The sequence below is a fragment of the Homo sapiens genome, chromosome 5 (genome assembly GCF_000001405.40).
Source record: "Homo sapiens chromosome 5, GRCh38.p14 Primary Assembly".
Classification (NCBI taxonomy): domain Eukaryota; kingdom Metazoa; phylum Chordata; class Mammalia; order Primates; family Hominidae; genus Homo; species Homo sapiens.
This window is the reverse complement of record NC_000005.10, coordinates 17130028-17150885: the sequence shown is the minus strand read 5'-3', so window position 1 is coordinate 17150885 and position 20858 is coordinate 17130028. Positions and strand designations below refer to the sequence as shown.

Genomic DNA, 20858 nt, shown 5'->3' with positions numbered 1-20858 from the left:
TTGAATCCTCACCTTATGTTTTCTCCAGGGAAGACATATTCTGAAGAATACCAAGATAAAGTATAACAAGAGCTCATCAGCCCAGGATTTGGGTGACGTAGATTCTGGCTTCCATTCTGATGTTAGCTGGAATACACAACGTTCTCTTCATCTACATCCACTTTTAACTTCTCCAAGGACTTCTCTGTGAGAACTGCCAACTCATATGGTAGCCCTGGCTGCCATTTTTGGAGCCCATGCCATGTTCTGACATCTGGAATTCGGCAGTTGTGCCTGCTCTTTCTCAGAAATAGAACTATCATCACAAAGAAAGCTATTTTGGTGGGAAATTTTAAAAGATGGTTTAAACTATAAATTCCACCCTTAAAATTTTTTAATCACAAACAACTTTCAAATATAAATACAAGTAGTCTCCAGTTTTTAAACTAAGCGTATCATATATATAATTCATAATTAATTACTGGCCATGCACAATAGCTCAGGCCTATAATCCCAGCACTTTGGGAGGCCGAGGTAGGAGGATCACTTGAGCTCAGGAGTTCCAGACCAGCCTGAGTAACATAATAAGACCTCGTCTCTACTAAAAATAAAAAATTAGCCAGGCGTGAGGGTGTATACTTGTAGTCCCAGCTAATCAGGAGGCTGGTACGAGAAGATGGCCTGAGCCCGGGAGATTGAGGCTGCAGTGAGCTATGATCGCATCACTGCATTCCAGCCTAAGCAACAGAGCAAGACCCTGTCTCAAAAAATTAAAATAAAGTAAAAACAAACAAACAAAAAATTCACTACCTCAATGGAAGCAATAGTAAAAATAAACATTAGTTCAGCTCAGTAAAAATATCTTGAATGCCCACTGTGTCCCAATCACTATTCAGACCCCAGAGGTACCAGCTGTTCTTCCTAAGCAGCTGATAATTTTGCAGAGAGAAGCTTCCTAGGCCAAAGCATAAAAGCCTATTCAACCCATATACAACTCTGGTAACTCTAACCATCACTTGTAACACCTTTGTACTAAGGGAAAAACATATTCTTAGTTAAACTTCTGGATATCAGATACATGTCTCTCTCTCAGCTCTTGAAGTGAATTAGGGAAGGTCTATAGATACTTCCAGAAAGCAGAAACTTGCTTAATGGAAAATATTGTCCAATACTTTTATTACTGAGCAAGATAAAAAAGGGTTTCCATACGAGCATTATGTTCAAGTTATGTTCAGCAGCGTTAAGAGCTATTGCCCAAAGGCTCCATGACCGCAGAAGTTTGGTAAAGAGTAAGTTTTAACAAGTTCCTTCACTGAGAAGCTTATTAAATACTTCAATATATTATTATGACTTTTATATCTCAAAAAAAAAAACAACAATGCAAGCATACTTAATACCACTGAACTGTACGCTTAGAAATACAGTCATGGGTCAGGTAGAGTGACTCACGCCTGTAATCCCAACACTTTGGGAGGCTGAGGTGGATCACTTGAAGCTAGAAGTTCGAGACCAGCCTGGACAACATGGTGAAACCCCGTCACTACTAAAAATACAAAAATTAGCCGGGCATGGTGGCGTGCGCCTATAGTCCCAACTACTTGGGAGGCTGAGGCAGGAGAATTGCTTGAACCTTGGAGACAGAGGTTGCAGTGAGCCAAGATTGCACAACTGCACTCCAGGCTGGGTGACAGAGCAAGACCCTGTCTCAAAAAAAAAAAAAAGAAAAAGAAAAAAGAAACAGTTGTTTTGCTTAATGATGAGGATACATTTGGAGAAATGCATTGTTAGGCTATTTCATCACTGTGTTAACATCAGAGAGTGTACTCACACAAACCCAGACGCTATAGCCTACTACACACCTAAGCTACATGGTAGAGCCTATTTCTCCTAGGCTACAAACCTGTACAACAGGTTACTGTACTGAAGACTATAGGGAACTGTAACACAATGGTAAATTTTTGTATATCAAACATATCAAAGCATAGATAATGTAAATATATGATATTATAATCTTACAGGAACACCATGATATATGAGGCCCACTATTGACCAAAATGTCATTATGCAGCACATGACTATAATTAAGATGGTAAATTCTAAGTTATGTGTTTTTTTACCACAATTTTTTTTTTAAATGAAAACAAGAGGAAGAGGTTTCTAAGATTCTTTGACTACAGAACCATGTTGTGCTCAGTGTTTCTCTTAGGGATGAGTGTACAATGACTGAGCACCTTGATATTCTCAGGGCTAGGGGCCTTCCTAGGATGTAGGACTTTTAGTGATAAAACCAGAGCATTCTGGGCAAATACAGACAATTGGCTACCCTACCTAAAGAAGCCCTGAGCACAACTTGGAAATGTTTCCATGTGTCAATAAATTTGGGGGCGATTAGAATAGAAAAACAAAGGTTGTTAGACAGGGTATGGTGGCTCATGCCTGTACTCCCACCACTTTGGGAGGCTGAGGTGAGAAGACTGCTTGGGGCCAGGAGTTTGAGACCAGCCTGGGCAACACAGACACCATCTCTACAAAAATGTTAAAACTGGGCAAGATAGCACATGCCTGTCGTCCCAGCTACTCAGGAGGCCAAGGCAAGAGGATCACTTGAGCCCAGGAGTTTGAAGCTGCAGGGAGCTATGATTGAGCCACTGTGCTCCATCCTGCATAACAGAATGAGATCCTGTCTCTAAAAAAGGTGGGGGGAAGAAGAGTTGTGGCCCTCTGCCTTCACTGAGGGCAGATGAAGGCTGGAATCCATTACACCCATCCTTGCCACCCCGATCTCCACCACCCATTTAGATGTATGGGCTCGGCTTTAGCTAGGCATCCATAAGTTAGAGTTGCTTCTGGTGGATCTGTAATTGCCCTGTTTTGTAATACCGATGAGTTTACACCAGAAGGAAATTCATGCTTTTCCTCCAGATAAACTGAGACTTAAGAAATCTTTTGACCTACCCAAAGTTCTGAAAGACTGCTAGAGCCAAAACTTAATGTTAAATCACAAGAATCCCAGTGCACTCTGCCAATTTTCTTAGTTCACTTATATCTACTATGATAATTTGAATAGCTAGAAGAAAGCAAAAGAGCGAATTGGGTAATAACTCTGTCTCAACCAGCTAAAAGATGACCTCTCCACCCCTGCTTAACTTTAGGAAGCGTTCCACTGTAAAGGAGCAACTTGACAGGCTGAGCCTGGCGGTGACAGCATACAGGATGGGCGCAGCCCCCACATCTGGGTCATTTCGTGTCATCATGTCTGGAATATCAAGTTTGAGCACGTATGCAGCAAGGATACCCTTCAACTAAAAGTTGCATCCTCAAATTGGGGCTTTCTAACTCAGCGTGGCGATGTTGTGGATCAGGTCAAAAGTGCTTTTCCTTAGAGCCAAGTTGAGAGTTGAGAGGCCTCTGCCACCTGCATCTGTGCTTATGAGCAACACATGTGGTCTCGGAGGGGGCTTCGGCGAGCACAAACTCCAGCATTGTCATTCAGAACCCAGGACAAAGCCTTTCACACTTGCACGACATGTGCTTTCTGAAATGAATGCAACTGCATACTTCCTTCTTGAGCTCGCAGTAATGAATGACTTCACAGATGGATGGATGATCTTGTGGCTGGCTACAAAGAATAGACTAAAACCCGCGGAAATGCAGATAGATTAAAAAGGAGTGACAGGTGGGTCCATCCTACACTCCCTACACTCTCTGTTTGTCCAACAAAATGGTAGTCCTCTAGCGGCTGCCGGAGTCCCAGTATCCCAGAGGAAACTGCGAAAAACCTCCTCAAATGAGTAATTAGGTCGCCGGACCCAGTGGTTCAGGCCTATAATCCCAGCACTTTGGGAGGCTGGAGCAGGCAGATCACTTGAAGTCAGGAGTTCGAGACCAGCCTGGCCAACATGGTGAAACACCATCTCTACTAAAAACACAAAAATTAGCCGGGCATGGTGGTGGGCACCTGTAATCCCAGCTACTTGGGGGGCTGAGGCAGGAGAATTGCTTCAACCCAGGAAGAGGAGGTTGTAGAGAGTGGAGATTGTGCCACTGTACTCCAGCCTGGGTGACAGAGTGAAATGAAAGAGAAGCAAGGAAGGCAAGAAGGCAGGAAGGCAGAAAGGCAGAAAGGCAGGAAGGCAGGAAGGCAGGAAGGCAGGAAGGCAGGAAGGCAGGAAGGAAGGAAGGAAGGAAGGAAGGAAGGAAGGAAGCGAAGGAAAAAGGAGAGGAAGGAAAGGAAAGGCAGGCAGGAAGGAAGAAAGGAAGAAAGGGAAGGAGAGGAAGGAAAGGAAAGGGAAGGGAAGGAGAGGAAGGAGGGAAGGAAGGAGAGTAATTAGATCAGCAGCACTGGCCCCTGCCAGTTCACTTTTTCAAAAGTCAACCTCCTCAAGTCACCTTTGTTTCTCAAAGGCTTCACATACAGAAGATGCTGTGACTACAGCGGATTGTCTCGCAGATCTGCAGTCTGCATTGGTCCTAGTGAGGAGAGACCTTTGGCTCCGTCCTCATAGGGCTTTTTCCTTAAGAGAAGAAGATATTGTCCCACTTGATGAATTTGGGGGAAATGTACGTTAGAGAACATGTACAGCAAGGTCAATAGTAACAACACAGACCCTAGTATAAGCATTCCATCATCTGCTTATTATAACCTCTCCAGGCTGTGAGAAATTAACACTGAGGCCAACAATGGGTGCTCACTACTCTGAATGAGCAGTACTTTGCATTTACTAGGAGCACTGGGGAAGTAGCCATTCACCAAAAGGGTACAAAAACACATAGAATGAAAACAATTCTCATTTTATTTTCATTCAGATGTGTAAGTCGAACTGTTTTCATTGCTGTTTGTCCAAGTAATCTTCCTCCCAGGGGGTGCTTACAAAGCCACTGAATTCCCTGGATGTCAGGTGCAGTAATGAGTCATTAGCCACAAGGCATACAATCAAAAGAGAAAGACAACTTCAAATACAGATTAGAAGAACACTTACCTAAACAACAAAAATAAGGAAAACCAAGCACCTCAAAAATCAGTTTGCTAATCCAACACTTTACATTAAACAGGTGATTTTATTGATTCTATCCCTAATTTGCTGTAAGATTTTGCTTAGTTCCCTTGAAAACGGCAACATGGCAGATGCAGTGACTCACACCTGTAATCCCAGCACTTTGGGAGGCCAAGGCAGGCCGATCACTTGAGGTCAGAAGTTCAAGACCAGCCAGGCCAACGTGGTGGAATCCCCTCTCGACTAAAAATACAAAAATTAGCTGGGCATGGTGGCAGGCGCCTGTAATCCCAGCTACTCAGAGGCTGAGACAGGAGAATCACTTGAACCCGGGAGGCGGAGGTTGCAGTGAGCCAAGATCACGCCATTGCACTCCAGCCTGGGTGACAAGAGTGAAACTCCGTCTCAAAAAAATAAATAAACAAAAATTAAATAAATAAATAAATAAAATGGCAAGAAATGTGTTTTTCCACTGAAAAGCTTTAGCATGTTTATTAAAAGATCTCTCTCTCAGACACACACACACACACCACACACCCCCAGTTATTGTCATCCTCCAAATTAACATGAAATAGATTAGCATGAGTATTTCATTTGTTTCTTGTGAAACTGGTTTTTTGCATTTCAAAATGCATTTCATTTCATGTTGTTTTATGATGAAGAGATTAATACCATCTACGCAGAAGTATTTTCTACACTGGTCAGAATAGTTTTAAAGTTCAAAAGGAAAGGATGACTTTTTTTTTTTTTTTTTTGCTTTCAGGATTAATGAAAATAAAACGCAGACCTTATAAGCAGACGCTGTGATTTTGTAATAAAGAGGGGCAGCTTTTACAGGAAAAAGAACCCGAGGGAAGCTGTTGGCAGTCTGTGAAACGACGGTCATGGTGGAATTCGTTTTTCTGCACATTAGATGTTTAAAACAGCTGGTTTTCGTTGTTGTTGTTGTTGTTGTTTTCCTGAAAGAATCTTGTTCCCCACAATATGTTCTTGGTATTCAAAATGGCTTTTGCTCCTACTTTTTGGAAAATGCACTTCAGTTTCCAATTTATTCATTTGTTAGTGGGTTCATCAATTAGTTTATTCATCAATTAGTTCATCCATTGTGGAAGACAGTGTGGCGATTCCTCAAGGATCTAGAACCAAAAATACCATTTGACCCAGCAGTCCCATTACTGGGCTTATTGAAGTCTCCTAATGTGAATTTCTACTCCTGGACATAATACCTTCTTCTCAGAAATAAGACAGAGTTTTCCCCTGCACTTCTTTATATGCTTTTTTCTCTGACTTTTGCCATGTGGTTTTGTTTCTCCCATGGCTTGAAAGAGCAGGAAAACTGAAGGTACCAACTGAAAGTGCTGCTTCCTGCTTTTGGTTTTCCTTCATTTTATTTCATTTTTCAAGCTGAGTCTCACTCTGTTGCCCAGGCTGAAATGCAGCTCAACCATCACGGCTCACAGCAGCCTTGACCTCCTGAGCTCAAGCAGTCCTCCTTCCTCAGCCTCCCGAGTAGCTAGGACCATAGGTGTGCACCGCCACCCTTAGCTTTTTTTTTTTTTTTTTTTTTGTAGAGACAGAGTCTCCCTATGTTTCCCAGACTCGGTGTTTTTCAAATATTTGAAAATGTAAAAGCCATTCTTAGCCCACAGGCTGTACAAAAACAGATGGAGGGCCAGATTTAACCCATGGGCAGTGGTTGGCCAAACCCTTGTGTATCCCATGCCATGCCCTACTATTCCAGACTTAAAAGTTATAATTTTAGGATAAACTTGTTATATTTTTGTCATGTCAGAAGACTGAGTGTATACATTTTCTTTTTTTTTTTTTTGACGGAGTTTTGCTCTGTCCCCCAGGCTGGAGTGCAGTGGGGTGATCTCGGCTCACTACAACCTCTGTCTTCCGAGTTCAAGTGATTCTCCTGTCTCAGTCTCCTGAGTAGCTGGGATTACAGGCTCATGCCACCATGCCCAGCTAATTTTTGTATTTTTAGTAGAAACGGGGTTTTGCCATGTTGGCCAGGCTGGTCTCGAACTCCTGACCTCAGGTGATCCACCTGCCTAGGCCTCCCAAAGTGCTGGAATTACAGGCGTGAGCCACTGCACCTGGCCTGAGCATATACATTTTCATAGGCAAAAACATACCTTGGAAATACTTCTCAGGAATGTGCACATATGAATTACAAAATGTAAAAAGCTTCAACTCCATTATGAACTGTAAATGCATGTGGCAGGAGGCGATCCTCATAGAAGCTGTCAGGGCGTGACTTCATTCTAGATGCTGTAAGTAGCAATAATAAAAGAGGAAGCAAACACGTGCAGCTTCTGGAATTCAGACCCTGGAGGAAGGAGACAGGTGGCCTTGAGTGAGGATATGAGGAACACAGTCAAGGAGAAAATGCAGCTGGTGAATTATAAACATCCATGGGCAGACATAGAAAGTTAGGAACCCCAGCCCTCTAATGGAACCAAGAAACCAGAGGCCAGTAGGAAACGGCTCCAGGAAGAGCGAAACTTGATAAATGTCCTAGACGTCAGTGAGAAAGATCCGTTTGTTTTGTTTACACTGAAAATTTTTAAATTGCATGACTATTTAGAGCACTTTTACATTTTTTGCCTAGAATTAGATCCAAAGAATAAATGACCTATTGAGCCTGAAGGGATTTTAGGAAAAAATAACTTTTTTAAAAAAATATGTTTTTTTGTTTTTTGTGTTTTTTTTTTGAGACAGAGTCTCGCTCTGTCACCCAGGCCGGAGTGCAGTGGTGCTATCTTGGCTCACTGCAAGCTCTGCCTCCCGGGTTCACGCCATTCTCCTGCCACAGCCTCCCAAGTAGCTGGGACTACAGGCATCTGCCACCACCCCCGGTTAATTTTTTTTTTTTTTGTATTTTTAGTAAAGACGGGGTTTCACCGGGTTGCCCAAGATGGTCTCGATTTCCTGACCTCATGATCTGCCAGCCTTGGCCTCTCAAAATGCTGGGATTACAGGTGTGAGCCACCATGCCTGGCCTAAAAAATATATATTTTTTAAAAAATAAAGACAAGGGTCTCACTATGTTGCCCAGCTTGGTCTTGAAATCTTGGGCTCAAGTGATCCTCCTGCCTTGGCCTCCCAAAGTGCTAGGATTACAGACATGAGCCACTGCACCAGGCCAAGAAAAAGTATCTTAATGACATATTTTCATTTGTGTTTTTCTTCAGCCCTCTGGATGCCAGCTCTCCTTCCCACTTGGCAGCTCCCTGCAGCAGTTTCTCGTTATGATTTTTGGGAGCTTGTTACAGATGTGAAATCCTCCTCTTTAATTTAAGTCTATGTCCACTAATTTGGTCCTCCACAAAACTGATGAAAAACTAGTGCACATTCCCCACATTAAAACTTGTCATTTACCTAAAGATTGTCATTAAACCCCCTCAGTCTACTTTTCTCCTGACCAAACACCCCCAAACCCTTGAACCTTTTCTTATAGAACCAACCGTCATCGTTTAAAACATTTGTGTGCCTCCTATTTCTTTACAATATTTTTTAACAGCGGAAACAAACCCCCAAAATGCATTTTCTAGTGAGGCTTGGACTAAGGTGGATTAGAGAAAGAATACACAAAGGAGAATGATTTCCTAAACTGCGCCCGTTATACTTCCGACATCTCAGTACCATGCTGGCTTTTTCCCACAGAATTGCTATATTTCTGAGGAGTATTCATTTAGTAAACCGAGTTCTCTGCACCCAGGTCATTTTGCCACTAAACTTGTAATAATCTCAGCAACAACAGTAATAGCAGCATCTAACTGTTGCCCTGTGTTAATGGCTGACAGCCGCCCTCTGCGGTTAGTCTACCATCATCTGCAATTTATAGCAGAGGATCCAGGCTTGGAGAGGTTCAGGAACTGGCCTGAGATGATCCTGGCTGTGAATGGTGAAGACTGGGTTCTAATCTACAACTGGATCCCTGGATTCTCACTCTTGAGTGCCATGCTGTGTACTTCTCAGTGTCGATCTGTGGATTGAAATTAACAGTATCTGCCGGGCGCAGTGGCTCAGGCCTGTAATCCGAGCACTTTGGGAGGCCGAGGTGGGCGGATCATGAGGTCAGGAGTTCGAGACCAGCCTGGCCAACATAGTGAAACCCCATCTCTACTAAAAATACAAAAAATTATCCAGATGTGGTGGTGTATGACTTACCCCAGCTACTCGGGAGGCTGAGGCAGGAGCATCGCGTGAACCCGGGAGACGGAAGTTGCAGTGAGCCAAGATTGCGCCACTGCACTCCAGCCCAGGCAACAGAGCGAGACTCCATCTCAAAAAAAAAAAAAAAAAGGAAAGAAATTAACAGTATCTGTATTAGTCATCTCAGGCTGCTGTAATAAAAATACCATAGACTGGGTGACTTAAACAACGACATTTATTTCTTACTGTTCTGAAGGCTGGGAAGTCTAAGATCAAGGCACTGGCAGGTCTAGAGTCTGGCGAGGGCTCTCTTCTGGTTTGTAGACAGCACACTGGTATCTTCACTGAGAAGAGCACTAATCCCATGATGAGGGCTCCCCCCTCATGACCTCATGTAACCCTAACCACCTTCCAAAGTTCCTATCACAATGGGGATTAGGGTTTCAACATATGAATTGGGGTCAAGAAGGGAGGACACAAACATGCAGTCTGTAACACTACCTCTTTTCATACTTAAAAAAAAAATGCGGGTTTTTGTTTGTTTAACACTCTTTTTTTTTTTTTTTTGGGGGGGTGATGGAGTCTCGCTCTGTCACCCAGGCTGGAGTGCAGTGGCGCGATCTCGGCTCACTGCAAGCTCCGCCTCCCGGGTTCGCGCCATTCTCCTGCCTCAGCGTCCCGAGTAGCTGGGACTACAAGCCCCCACCACCACGCCTGGCTAATATTTTGTATTTTTAGTAGAGACGGGCCCACGCCCACCCGGAACTCCCGCTGGCCCGCAAGCGCCGCACGCAGCCCCGGTTCCCGCTCGTGCCTCTCCCTCCACACCTCCATGCAAGCTGAGGGAGTGGGCTCCGGCCTTGGCCAGCCCAGAAAGGGGCTCCCACAGTGCAGTGGGGGGCTGAAGGGCTCCTCAAATGCCACCAAAGTGGGAGCCCAGGCAGGAGAGGTGCCAAGAGCAAGCGAGGGCTCTGAGGACTGCCAGCATGCTGTCACCTCTCAGTTTCACCGTGTTAGCCAGGATGGTCTCGATCTCCTGACCTCATGATCTGCCCGCCTCAGCCTCCCAAAGTGCTGGGATTACAGGCGTGAGCCACCGTGCCCGGCCTTAACACTCTATTTTTTTTTTTTTTTTTTTTTGAGACGTAATTTTGCTTTTGTTGCCCAGGCTGGAGTGCAATGGCGCGATTTCGGCTCACTGCAACCTCCATCTCCCGGGTTCAAGCAATTCTCCTGCCTCAGCCTCCCAAGTATCTGGGATTACAGGCATGCGCCACCACACTTGGCTAATTTTGTATTTTTAATAGAGATGGGGTTTCTCCATGTTGGTCAGGCTGGTCTCAAACTCCCAACCTCAGGTGATCCGCCCACCTTGGCCTTCCAAAGTGCTGGGATTACAGGCGTGAGCCACTGAGCCCCACCTGTTTAACATTTTTTAATTTTTTTTTTTAATTATAGAGATGGGGTCTCACTATGTTGCCCAGGCTGGTCTCAAACCCCTGGGCTCAAGTGATCCTCCCGCCTCAGCCTCCCAAAGTGCTGGGACTATAGGCATGAGTCACTGCACCTGGCCTCTTTTTATACTGACCAGGTTTGTGTTACTCCACTCTATTTCCTTCAACAACAATTTCCCAATTTATCAAGGTAATTTTCAAATTTATACTGGTTCTTAGTCCAGAGAATTAGCAACTCCAACTAATTAAGTAACATCTGCAGTTTCAGTCAGTATATTTCCATTATCTTCATTCCTTTTATGGAAACTTAAAAATTTCAACTTCAGGCTGGGCATGGTGGCTCATGCCTGTAATCCCAGCACTTTGGGAAGCCAAGGCGGGAAAATCACTTGAGCTTAGGAGTTTGAGACCAGCCTGGGCAATATATCGAGACCTTGTCTCTACAACAGCAACAACAACAATAAAAATTAAAAGTTTAAACTTCAAATTCTGACTGTTAGACGCAATAAGCGCTAACATTGTATTCCAGGCATTATTGTAAGCATGTTATATGCCTTAACTCCTTTGCTACTCTCTGTGGCCCTAAAAAGTAGATACACTTGTTCCTTCCACTGTTAGATGATAGAGGCACAGAGTGGTTGTATAACTTGCTTAAGGTCACGCAGCTAGACATTTGGCCCCACATCTTTACAAGTAGCTTTAGATTCAAAAAATATTCTATGTGCATCTTGTTTCCAATTCTCTTTTCAATAAATAATCCCTTTCCAATCAAGAATTTTAGGGAAAAATTGGACCATTTTTCTAATGTTATTTATCCATTTTCCTGCTAATAGTAATTTAGGTCTCTAACTTTTTGCTTTGGGAAAAAAAGATTCCTCTAAAATTATTGTTTACATTTTATTGTGAGAGAGTGATGAAGGATACATATAGTTTGATGCCATTTGCATTAATATATGTAAAACAGCATTACACATTGTTTCAGGAGACATATACATGTTATAAAAGATGAAGCCTGGCAAGGGTGTAATAAACGTCCAAGTCAGGATAATGGTTACCTTGGATGGGGAGAGGGCAGGGATTGGGACGAGGTACACAAGAAGCTTCAATTTTATTTGTAATTTTTTTTCCCTCAGGCTTAGTGATGGCTGTATGCAGCTGATTTTTATGTTATTTTCTACATCTTTTTGAATGTTTGTAATTTTTATAATTTTTACAGGGAGGCAGGGGAGGAACTTAAATGTGAATTCATATACATAGTAGGAAGAAATGCTGATTGCCAGGAAGTCTGTTTTCTGGACCTTGTTCTACAACAAGCTCTTGGCTTAAATTGGGCAAGCTGATTAATCCAGTCCTCTTTCTTGAACTATAAAAAAAGGGTGGTACAGGCCGGGCACGGTGGCTAACACCCGTGGGGGAGGCCAAGGCAGGTGGATCACCTGAGGTCAGGAGTTCGAGACCAGCCTGACCAACATGGAGAAACCTCATCTCTATTAAAATTACAAAATTAGCCAGGCGTGGTGGCACATGCCTGTAATCCCAGCTACTCAGGAGGCTGAGGCAGGAGAATCACTTGAACCCGGGAGGCGGAGGTTGCAGTGAGCTGAGATCTACCACTGCACTCCAGCCTGGGCAACAAGAGCGAAACTCCATCTCAAAAAAATAAATAAATAAATAAAGGGTTGTACTAAAACAAGGGTAAACAAACTATGTCTCCTATGTCTCCTTAGTTTTGTAAATAAAGTTTTATTTGTACATCCCCATGCCCATTCATTATTTTCTATGGCTGCTTTCAACCTACGGTGGCAGGGTTGAACAGTTGCAACAAAGACCATGTCACTGCTTGCAAAGTCTGAAATACTCACTCTACGGTGCTTTACAGAAAATGTCTGCTAACCCCTGCAGCAGAGAACCAGTCTCCTTCAACTCTGATCATTCTAAGATATACGAGACTTTTGTACCAATGGTGGACTGGGAACACCAGTTTTCCATACATACATGTTCATTTTTGTAAGCATATAAATTACAGATAATATGAAAGAAACTTTAGGCCAGGCGGTGGCTCACGCCTGTAATCCCAGCACTTTGGGAGGCTGACAAGGGAAGATCACCTAAGGTCAGGGGTTTGAGACCAGCCTGGGCAACATGGTGAAGCCCTGTCTTTACTAAAAATACAAAAATTAGCCGGGCATGGTGGTGGGCGCCTGTAATCTCAGCTACTCAGGAGGCTGAGGCAGAAGAATCACTTGAACCCGGGAGGCAGAGGTTTCAGTGAGCCGAGATTGTGCCACTACACTCCAGCCTGGGTGACAGAGCAAGACTCCATCTCAAAAAAAAAAAAATTAAAGAAATTTTAGAACTTAAGAATCGTGAAGCAAAACCCTTTGTTATTGTTCTGGGAGGATGTAAGCACAGACATCTTCCCCTAAAAAGAATACAGCCTGAAATGAATTGAAGAAATGGGGCCCGGCGCCGCGGCTCACACCTGTAGTCCCAGCACTTTGGAAGGCCGATGCGGGCAGATCACGAGGTCAGGAGATCGAGACCATCCTGGCTAACACGGTGAAACCCCGTCTCTACTAAAAATAAAAAAAATTAGCCGGGCGCGGTGGCAGGCGCCTGTAGTCCCAGCTACTCGGGAGGCTGAGGCAGGAGAATGGCATCAACCTGGGAGGTGGGGCTTGCAGTGAGCCGAGATCGCGCCACTGCACTCCAGCCTGGGCTACAGAGCAAGACTCCGTCTCAAAAAAAAGAAAAAAAAAAAAAAGGAATGGCCATGGCTGGGTGAGATGGCTCACGCCTGTAATCCCAGTACTTTGGGAGGCCAAGGCGGGCGGATCACCTGAGCTCAGGGGTTCGAGACCAGCCTGACCAACATGCAGAAACCCCATCTCTACTAAAAATACAAAAAATTAGCCAGGTGTGGTGGCACATGCCTGTAATCCCAGTTACTCAGGAGGCTGAGGCAGGAAAATCGCTTGAACCCAGGAGGCGGAGGTTGCAGTGAACCAATATCACGCCATTGCACTCCAGCCTGGGCAACAAGAGTGAAACTCCGTCTCAAAAAGTAAAAGAAGAAAAAGAAATGCCCATAAGCCCCAAGCATCGACTCTAACACCTTCAAGGTGGTGTATGTTGTGTGATTTCTGTGCAATTTGTGAGTGGTTAGGCTTAATGGGTTTTGCAGAGATGTTTTGGATATAGGTACTTAATCTTTGCATAAAATTTCTATTGTGAATAGAGGACTCATTAAGCAATTCACCCTCTGAACAAGCAATACATAATAATGATCAAGAGCAGGAATTCAATTGCAAGGACTAGAATATTGACTTAACACCCTTTCTGCCTGTGCATCTTGGGCAATTTCTGCAACCTCTCTAAGCTTCGGTTTCCTCATCTATGAAATGGAGCCATGCTAGTAGGTAACCTATTGGGTTGCTGTGAAAACTAAGTTATGTAATTCACGGTACACTATTTAACATAATGTTGAATCAATGTTAGCCATTATTAGCTGGACTTATTTAGGACATAATACAAATTCTGAAATGTTTTTAAAAGCACAGCTTCTAGTATCTGCTTTCAAGACTGACAATAGATATGAGAGAAAAGTGGAAGGTAGAAGGCGATGTCAGCATATCTGTACCAGTTGAGACATCAGTATAGAGCAAAGGTACTAAAGCAAGCAGACCTCAGGTTGGCCATACATCAATGGCGTTCAGGAGACACAAAAGGAAAGCGTCAGTGGCACCCTGAAATGGAATCCATCATCCAAAATCATGTGGACCATCCACGACTGTTCCATCAGGAGAAACACAAGCATCTCTTCCTGCCTTCCCAAGTTGAGCACAAAGTCATGACTGCTATGGTTTGGCTGTTTTTGGCTCCAAACCATGGCAGTCATGGCCTCCGAAACGCATGTTGAAACCGAATCCCCAGTGCATCAGTGTTGGGAGGTGGGGCCTGTGGGAAGTTGTGTAGGTCCTGAGGCTCTGCCCTCATGAATGAATTAATGTCACTATAAATAATGCTCACGAGCGTGGGTTCGCTCTTCTGCTTTTCTGCCATGTGAGGACCTGGAGTTTCTCCCCTCCACGGGATGCAGCATTGGAGACACCATCTTGGCAGCAGAGAGACAGGGCCCTAAGCTGCCAGTGCCTTAATCCTGGACTTCCCAGCCTCCAGAACTGTGAGAGAATAAATATCTATTCTTTATAAGTTACCCGGTCTCAACTATTCTCTTACAGCAGCACAAAATGGACTAAGAAAATGACATTGACATGTGGCCAATTAGTAGTCATTGGAATAAAAGCAAGCATAAACAGATCACATAACGTAAAATATTTACAGTGTGACTCTGGGCAAGTCACTTAGCTGCTCTATAATTTCATTTCCTTACTGGGCATCACTTTCTCATGGAAAAGTAATACAAGCCACATAACATAATTTTAATTTTCTACTAGTGACATTAAGTAAAAAAAAAAGTGGATGAAATTTTCTTTTTTCTTGTTTTTCTTTCTTTCTGGATAAAATTAATTTTAATAATATATTTTATTTAACCCAATATAGCCAGAGTAATATAATTTCATTTTTCCTTTTTTTGCTTTGTTTGTTTTGTTTAGAGACAAGATGTTGTCTGTCATCCAGGCTAGAATGCAGTGGCATGATCATAGCTCACTCCTGGGCTCAAGCAATCGTCCTGTCTCAGCCTCCTAAGTAGATGGGACCACAGGAGCCCACCACCATGGCCCAGTTAATACATTTTCTTTATTATATATATTTTTTAGAGATAGGGTCTCACAGTGTTGCCCAGGCTCATCTCCAACTCCTGACTTCAAGTGATCCTCCCACCTTGGCCTCCCAAAGTGATGAGATTGCAGATGTGAGCCACTGTACCTGGCCAGTAATATCAATATGTAACAAATATAAAAATATAGTGACATATTTTACATTCTTTCATATTAAGACTTCCAACCTGGTTTGTATTTTACACTTACAGCGCATCTCAAAGATGCTGCAGGCTCGATAGCCACAGGTGGCTAGTGGCTACCTGTTGGACCATGTTGAATAAGGACACACCTCACTCCTAGAAAACCACTGATTCCTAAGACAGCACTTTAGGGAAGGGGACAATGACAAGGATAAAAGCTCTACATTATTTGTCCATATCTGAGTATTTAAACCACACCAATAAACGATAATAAATCTTGCCATATAATAAAAGGGTAAGGATTTAAGATCAGAGCCCAGGAAGACTTCCATCATGAGGAGGCTGCCATGCCAATTAAAACAAAACTAAATTTTATTTTAATTTTATTGTACTGTTTATTTTTGAGACAGATTCTTACTCTGTTGCCCAGGCTGGAATGCGGTGGCTCGATCTCGGCTCACTGCAACCTCCGCCTCCAGGGTACAAGTGATTCTCAAGCCTCAGCCTCCCGAGTAGCTGGGACCACAGGCATACACCACCACACCTGGCTAATTTTTGTATTTTTAGTAGAGATTGGATTTCTCCGTGATGGCCAGGCTGGCCTTGAACTCCTGGCCTTAAGTGATAGGCCTGCCTCAGCCTCCCAAAGTGCTGGGACTACAGGCATGAGCCTCTGGGCCCAGCCCATCAAAGAAACTAAGTTTTAGATTAACTAATACGACTTGATGCTGAAGAAATGTAGTTCTCTTTTTTAAAAAAAGTTATTAGGTCTTCTTTAATTTATTTTATCAACACTTTGTAATTTAGCAAAAACCTGTATAAGAATATTCAGGCCGGGCACAGTGGCTCACACCTGTAATCCCAGCACTTTGGGAGGCCAAGGTGGGTGGATCACCTGAGGTCGGGAGTTCAAGACCAGCCTGACCTACATGGAGAAACCCTGTCTTTACTAAAAATACAAAATTAGCTGGGCATGGTGGCACATGCCTGTAATCCCAGCTACTTGGGGGGCTAAGGCAAGAGAACCACTTGAACTCGGAAGCTGGAGGTTGCAGTGAGCCAAGATCACATCATTGCACTCCAGCCTGGGCAACAAGAGTGAAACTCTGTGTCAAAAAAAAAAGAAAAAAGAATATTCATAGTAGCTCTTATTCCCAAGAGCTAAACAACTGAAAACAAGCCAAATGTCCCTCAGTGGGCAAATGGTTAGACACACTGTGGTCTAGCCATACCATGGAATAGACAACAACTTGAATGGATCTCAAGGGAATTATGCTGAGTGAAAAAAAAGTCCATCTCAACAAGTTATGATTCCATTTATATAACATTTTACAATAACCGAACTATAGCGATAGAAAACAGATTCATGACTGCCACAGGTAGGAGTGGGAGGAAGAGAACTTGGGTGTAGACATAATGGGGTAGCCTGGGCTAATGGCACAATTCTGTATCTTTTTCTGAGACAGGGTCTTGCTCTGTCACCCAGGCTGGAGTGCAGTGGCGTGAGTGCGTGATCATGGCTCACTGCAGCCTTGATCTCCCAGGCCCAAGTGATCCTCCCGCCTTAGCCTCCTGAGCAGCTAGGACTATAGGTGCTGCCATCACACCTGACTAGTTTTTTAATTTTTTTGTAGAGATAGGGTCTCCCTATATTGCCCAGGCTGGTCTCAAACTCCTGGCCTCAAGCGACCCTCCTGCCTCAGCCTCCTGCAGCGCTGGGATTACACATGTGAGCTACTGTGTCAGGCCACAATTCTGTATCTGACTGTAGTTACAGGTACATGAATGTATACATGTGACAAAATTGCACAGAACTTTATACACACACACACACACACACAAATGAGTGTTTGTAAAGCTAGTAAATGCAATTAAATCTCTATGGATTGTACCAATATCAGGTTCCTAATTTCTATAATGTGTCTGGTTATATGGACATGACCATCAGACAAGGCTGGGTGACGGGTATGTTGGATCTCCCTGTACATTTTTTTTTTTTTTGCAACTTCTTGCAAATCTATAATTATGTCCTTAAAACAGAAAAGTATACCCTAAAACAAAAGATCTTTAGGAAAAGAAAGAGTTGCTTAGCAAAGCCAGGCCTACAGATAGCAGCTTGAGTAGAAAACCGAAGAACAGGCTTCTCAGAGCCCAGTGAAGAAAGAAGCGTTGGCCAAACACCCATTTCTTAACTCCAGAAGTAAATGCAGGAGACACAAGGAGAGAAATAATTGATTTTGTGCAAACCAAACCAGTTCTGATCCCAGCCCCCTGTGTTCTAACTACAGGAGTGTACTGCTTTTCAAATCCACAATGTTTTATGGCCTTAACGAGCCAAGCTGTGTAATTATCATCACACTATGATGCCACACCTAATTTTAAAATCCCACAATAAAGTCACAGCAGGAAGAGGACAGTTACAAAAGCTATATGATGTGATTGTCATTCGGCTTCCGCTACAGTTAAAATTAATCTGTTTCTTTTTAGAGTCTCAATTCTTTCAGAGTATATGTTAAAACACTGCTTCTTTTATGTGTGTTATATTTTTCCTAATGGTAAAACATTGGTAAAAATCAGTTTGAGTGAGGCTTAGTCTAGCTAAAACTAAGCCCTGAAACTGATTCACGGAACACAGCTTGTATTTTTTAATCTGACCACAAGAGGGCTTCTGTTTTTCCTAGTACTAAAAAGGCAGCAGAGTAATCTTTAATTTAGAATATGCAAATATCTTACAAGGGAAAATGAGTTTTAAACCAAGCCCTCCCTGCAAACACCAAGATTTGACTAACTGACTATACAGTTTTTTGTTTTGAGACAAGGTCTTGCTCTGTCACCCAGGCTGGAGTGCAGTGGCATGATCACAGTTCACTGCAACCTCTACCTCCCAGGCTCAAGCCATCCTCCCACTTCAACCTCCTGAGTAGCTGGGACTACAGGCATGCACCACCACATCTGGCTTCTTTTTATTTTTTATTTTTTTATTTTTTTTAGAGAAGACGTCACTATATTGCCCAGGCTGGTCTTGAACTCCTGGACTCAAGTGATCCTCCCGCCTCAACTTCTCAAAGTGCTGGAATTACAGGCGTGAGCCACCATGCCTGACCAACTATACCGTTTTGTAAAAAGTGAAATTTACTGAAGAATGTCTATAAAATATACTTCAAAACTCGGTTTTCCTTTTTTAAATTTGACATATAAATGATGAAAACTAGCCAACCACTTATAAAGCATGTTGATGATTTCATTTCCCAGTTGGCAAATGAAATAGGACCAAGTGCCGTCTTTCTTTTTGTTAGCTTTGTTATTAACATATATAGCTCAGCATCGTGCTCTGAGCATATTGCTGTTATTGTTCAATAACAGCTCTACAGCCAATGGTTCCTTATACATTATTTAAGATAATTCTGTGATGCCAGAAAATGAATTTCCCTAAGTGTACCCTCTCCACCCACACTAACCTTTATTTATAGGTTTCAGTCGATTTGATTATAAAGCAAAGGTTTGGGAAGAAAGACTCATATTCCTCCTGAGATGCAACCTCAAGTCTTAGGAAAAGAAAGTTTTGAACTCAGGTTCCGGGAATGTGGAAGAGGAAGCTCTTAAAGGGCAAGTAGACTTTGCAACATGCTCGTTTTCAGGATTCTCCTCCTTTGTCCTCAACCCTGCCCAGTGTTCCCCTAACTCCACCTAAGCCACTCCATAAAGTTAGGTCCCATTCCTCTATTCCTTCACTACTAATGACAGCTAATAGAGCTAAACAGAATACCACAATAAGCCAGAAGCTGCCTTTTTTTATTATTATTATTATTCATTGCCCAATTTGTAGAACTCTCTGAATTCAATTAAAGTTTGGCAAAGCCTGTGCAAATGAAACCAAGTACCTATTTTTTGCTCATCATAAACCCAAAAGTTTTCTAGAGAACTAACTGAAAGAGATTTTCACCAAATCTTTTTATTTTTTTAATCTAGAGAATACAATTGAGAACCAAATCAATAAATATCCTCAACTGTTACCTTTGTTATAAGGGAACTACGATGAACCGTGCTTGCCCCACATTTACCCTAGCAGCAACTATGCTTTTTCTATCTCTGGCCTTACCCTGCCTTCCTGCCTCCAGAGTCTGAGATGGAGAAAGGCAAAGTCAGATGGAGGATAGAGCTGGGCAGGGAGTTGCTGCCAGCAACAATTGGAGTTGCTGGTTTGCTTTCAACACTGACCCCACTTTATTGGCCATGAGTTAAGGCAGTCAAATGGGCATCTAGGAAACATGACCAAGATCTGCATTAGGGAAGCAAAGCAGATTAAAAGGCACAATTGCTGGCCAGGCATGGTGGCTCACACCTCTAATCCTAGTGAGAGGTGAAGCCAGTTGGACTTCCTGGGTCGAGTGGGGTGGGGTCTTGGAGAAATTTTCTATCTAGCTAGAGGATTATAAATGCACCAATCAGCTCTGTGTCTAGCTAAAGGTTTGTAAACGCACCAATCAGCACTCTGTAAAAACGCACCAATCAATGCTCTGTGTCTAGCTGAAGGTTTGTAAATGCACCAATCAGCACTCCGTAAAACGGACTGATCAGTGCTTTGTAAAATGGACCAATCAGCAGGATGTAGGCAGGGCCAAATAAGGGAAAAAAAGCTGGCACCCAAGCCAACAGGGGCAACCTGCTTGAGTCCCTTTCCACATTGTGGAAGCTTTGTTCCTTCACTCTTCATGATAAATCTTGCTGCTGCTCACTCTTTGGGTCCGCACTACCTTTATGAGCTGTAACACTCACCACGAGGGTCTGTGGCTTCATTCCTTAAGTTAGCAAGACCACGAACCCACAGGGAGGAACAAACAACTCCGGGCACACCACCTTTAAGAGCTATAACACTCACTGCGAAGGTCTGTGGCTTCACTCCTGTAGTCAGCAAAACCACAAACCCACCGGAAGGAAGAAACTCCAGACACATCTAAACATCTGAAGGAACAAACTCTGGACACACCATCTTTAAGAACTGTAACACTCACCGTGAGGGTCCGTGGCTTCATTCTTGAAGTCAGGGAGACCAAGAACCCACCGGAAGGAACAAACTCCGGACACACTAGCACTTACAGGAGGCCCAGGTGGGAAGATCACTTGAGGCCAGGAGTTTGAGACCAGCCTGGGCAACGTAGTCAGACCCCATCTCTACAAAAAAATTTAAAAAATTAGCCGAGCATGGTGGCAAGTGCCAGTAATCCCAGCTACTCTTGGAGGCTGAGGCAGGAAGAGCCCTTGAGCCCAGGAGCTGGAGGCTGCAGTGAACTATGATCAAACCACTGTAGTCCAGCCTGAGTGACAGAGTGAGACCCTGCCTCT

At 43.4% G+C, this 20858-nt stretch overlaps 1 long non-coding RNA gene across 1 annotated transcript in view, besides 3 other annotated features; it reads left to right on the top strand.

Annotated features, from left to right (window-relative positions):
• BASP1-AS1 (BASP1 antisense RNA 1) overlaps positions 1 to 20858 on the top strand; it is an 87395-nt gene extending 66537 nt beyond the window's left edge. Inside the window, exon 3 of the long non-coding RNA NR_027253.1 lies at positions 18986 to 20858. This is a non-coding gene — a long non-coding RNA (BASP1 antisense RNA 1). The remainder of the gene's footprint in view (positions 1 to 18985) is intronic.
• Positions 4348 to 5182: an enhancer, noted in NCBI's record as "OCT4-NANOG-H3K27ac hESC enhancer chr5:17145813-17146647 (GRCh37/hg19 assembly coordinates)". NCBI's record gives its function as "activates a minimal SCP1, AML or CMV promoter by ChIP-STARR-seq in naive H9 embryonic stem cells {active_cell/tissue: H9 hESC(naive)}" and the evidence as "EXISTENCE:reporter gene assay evidence [ECO:0000049][PMID:30033119]".
• Positions 9420 to 9956: an enhancer, noted in NCBI's record as "H3K27ac-H3K4me1 hESC enhancer chr5:17141039-17141575 (GRCh37/hg19 assembly coordinates)". NCBI's record gives its function as "activates a minimal SCP1, AML or CMV promoter by ChIP-STARR-seq in primed H9 embryonic stem cells {active_cell/tissue: H9 hESC(primed)}" and the evidence as "EXISTENCE:reporter gene assay evidence [ECO:0000049][PMID:30033119]".
• Positions 9957 to 10495: an enhancer, noted in NCBI's record as "H3K27ac-H3K4me1 hESC enhancer chr5:17140500-17141038 (GRCh37/hg19 assembly coordinates)". NCBI's record gives its function as "activates a minimal SCP1, AML or CMV promoter by ChIP-STARR-seq in primed H9 embryonic stem cells {active_cell/tissue: H9 hESC(primed)}" and the evidence as "EXISTENCE:reporter gene assay evidence [ECO:0000049][PMID:30033119]".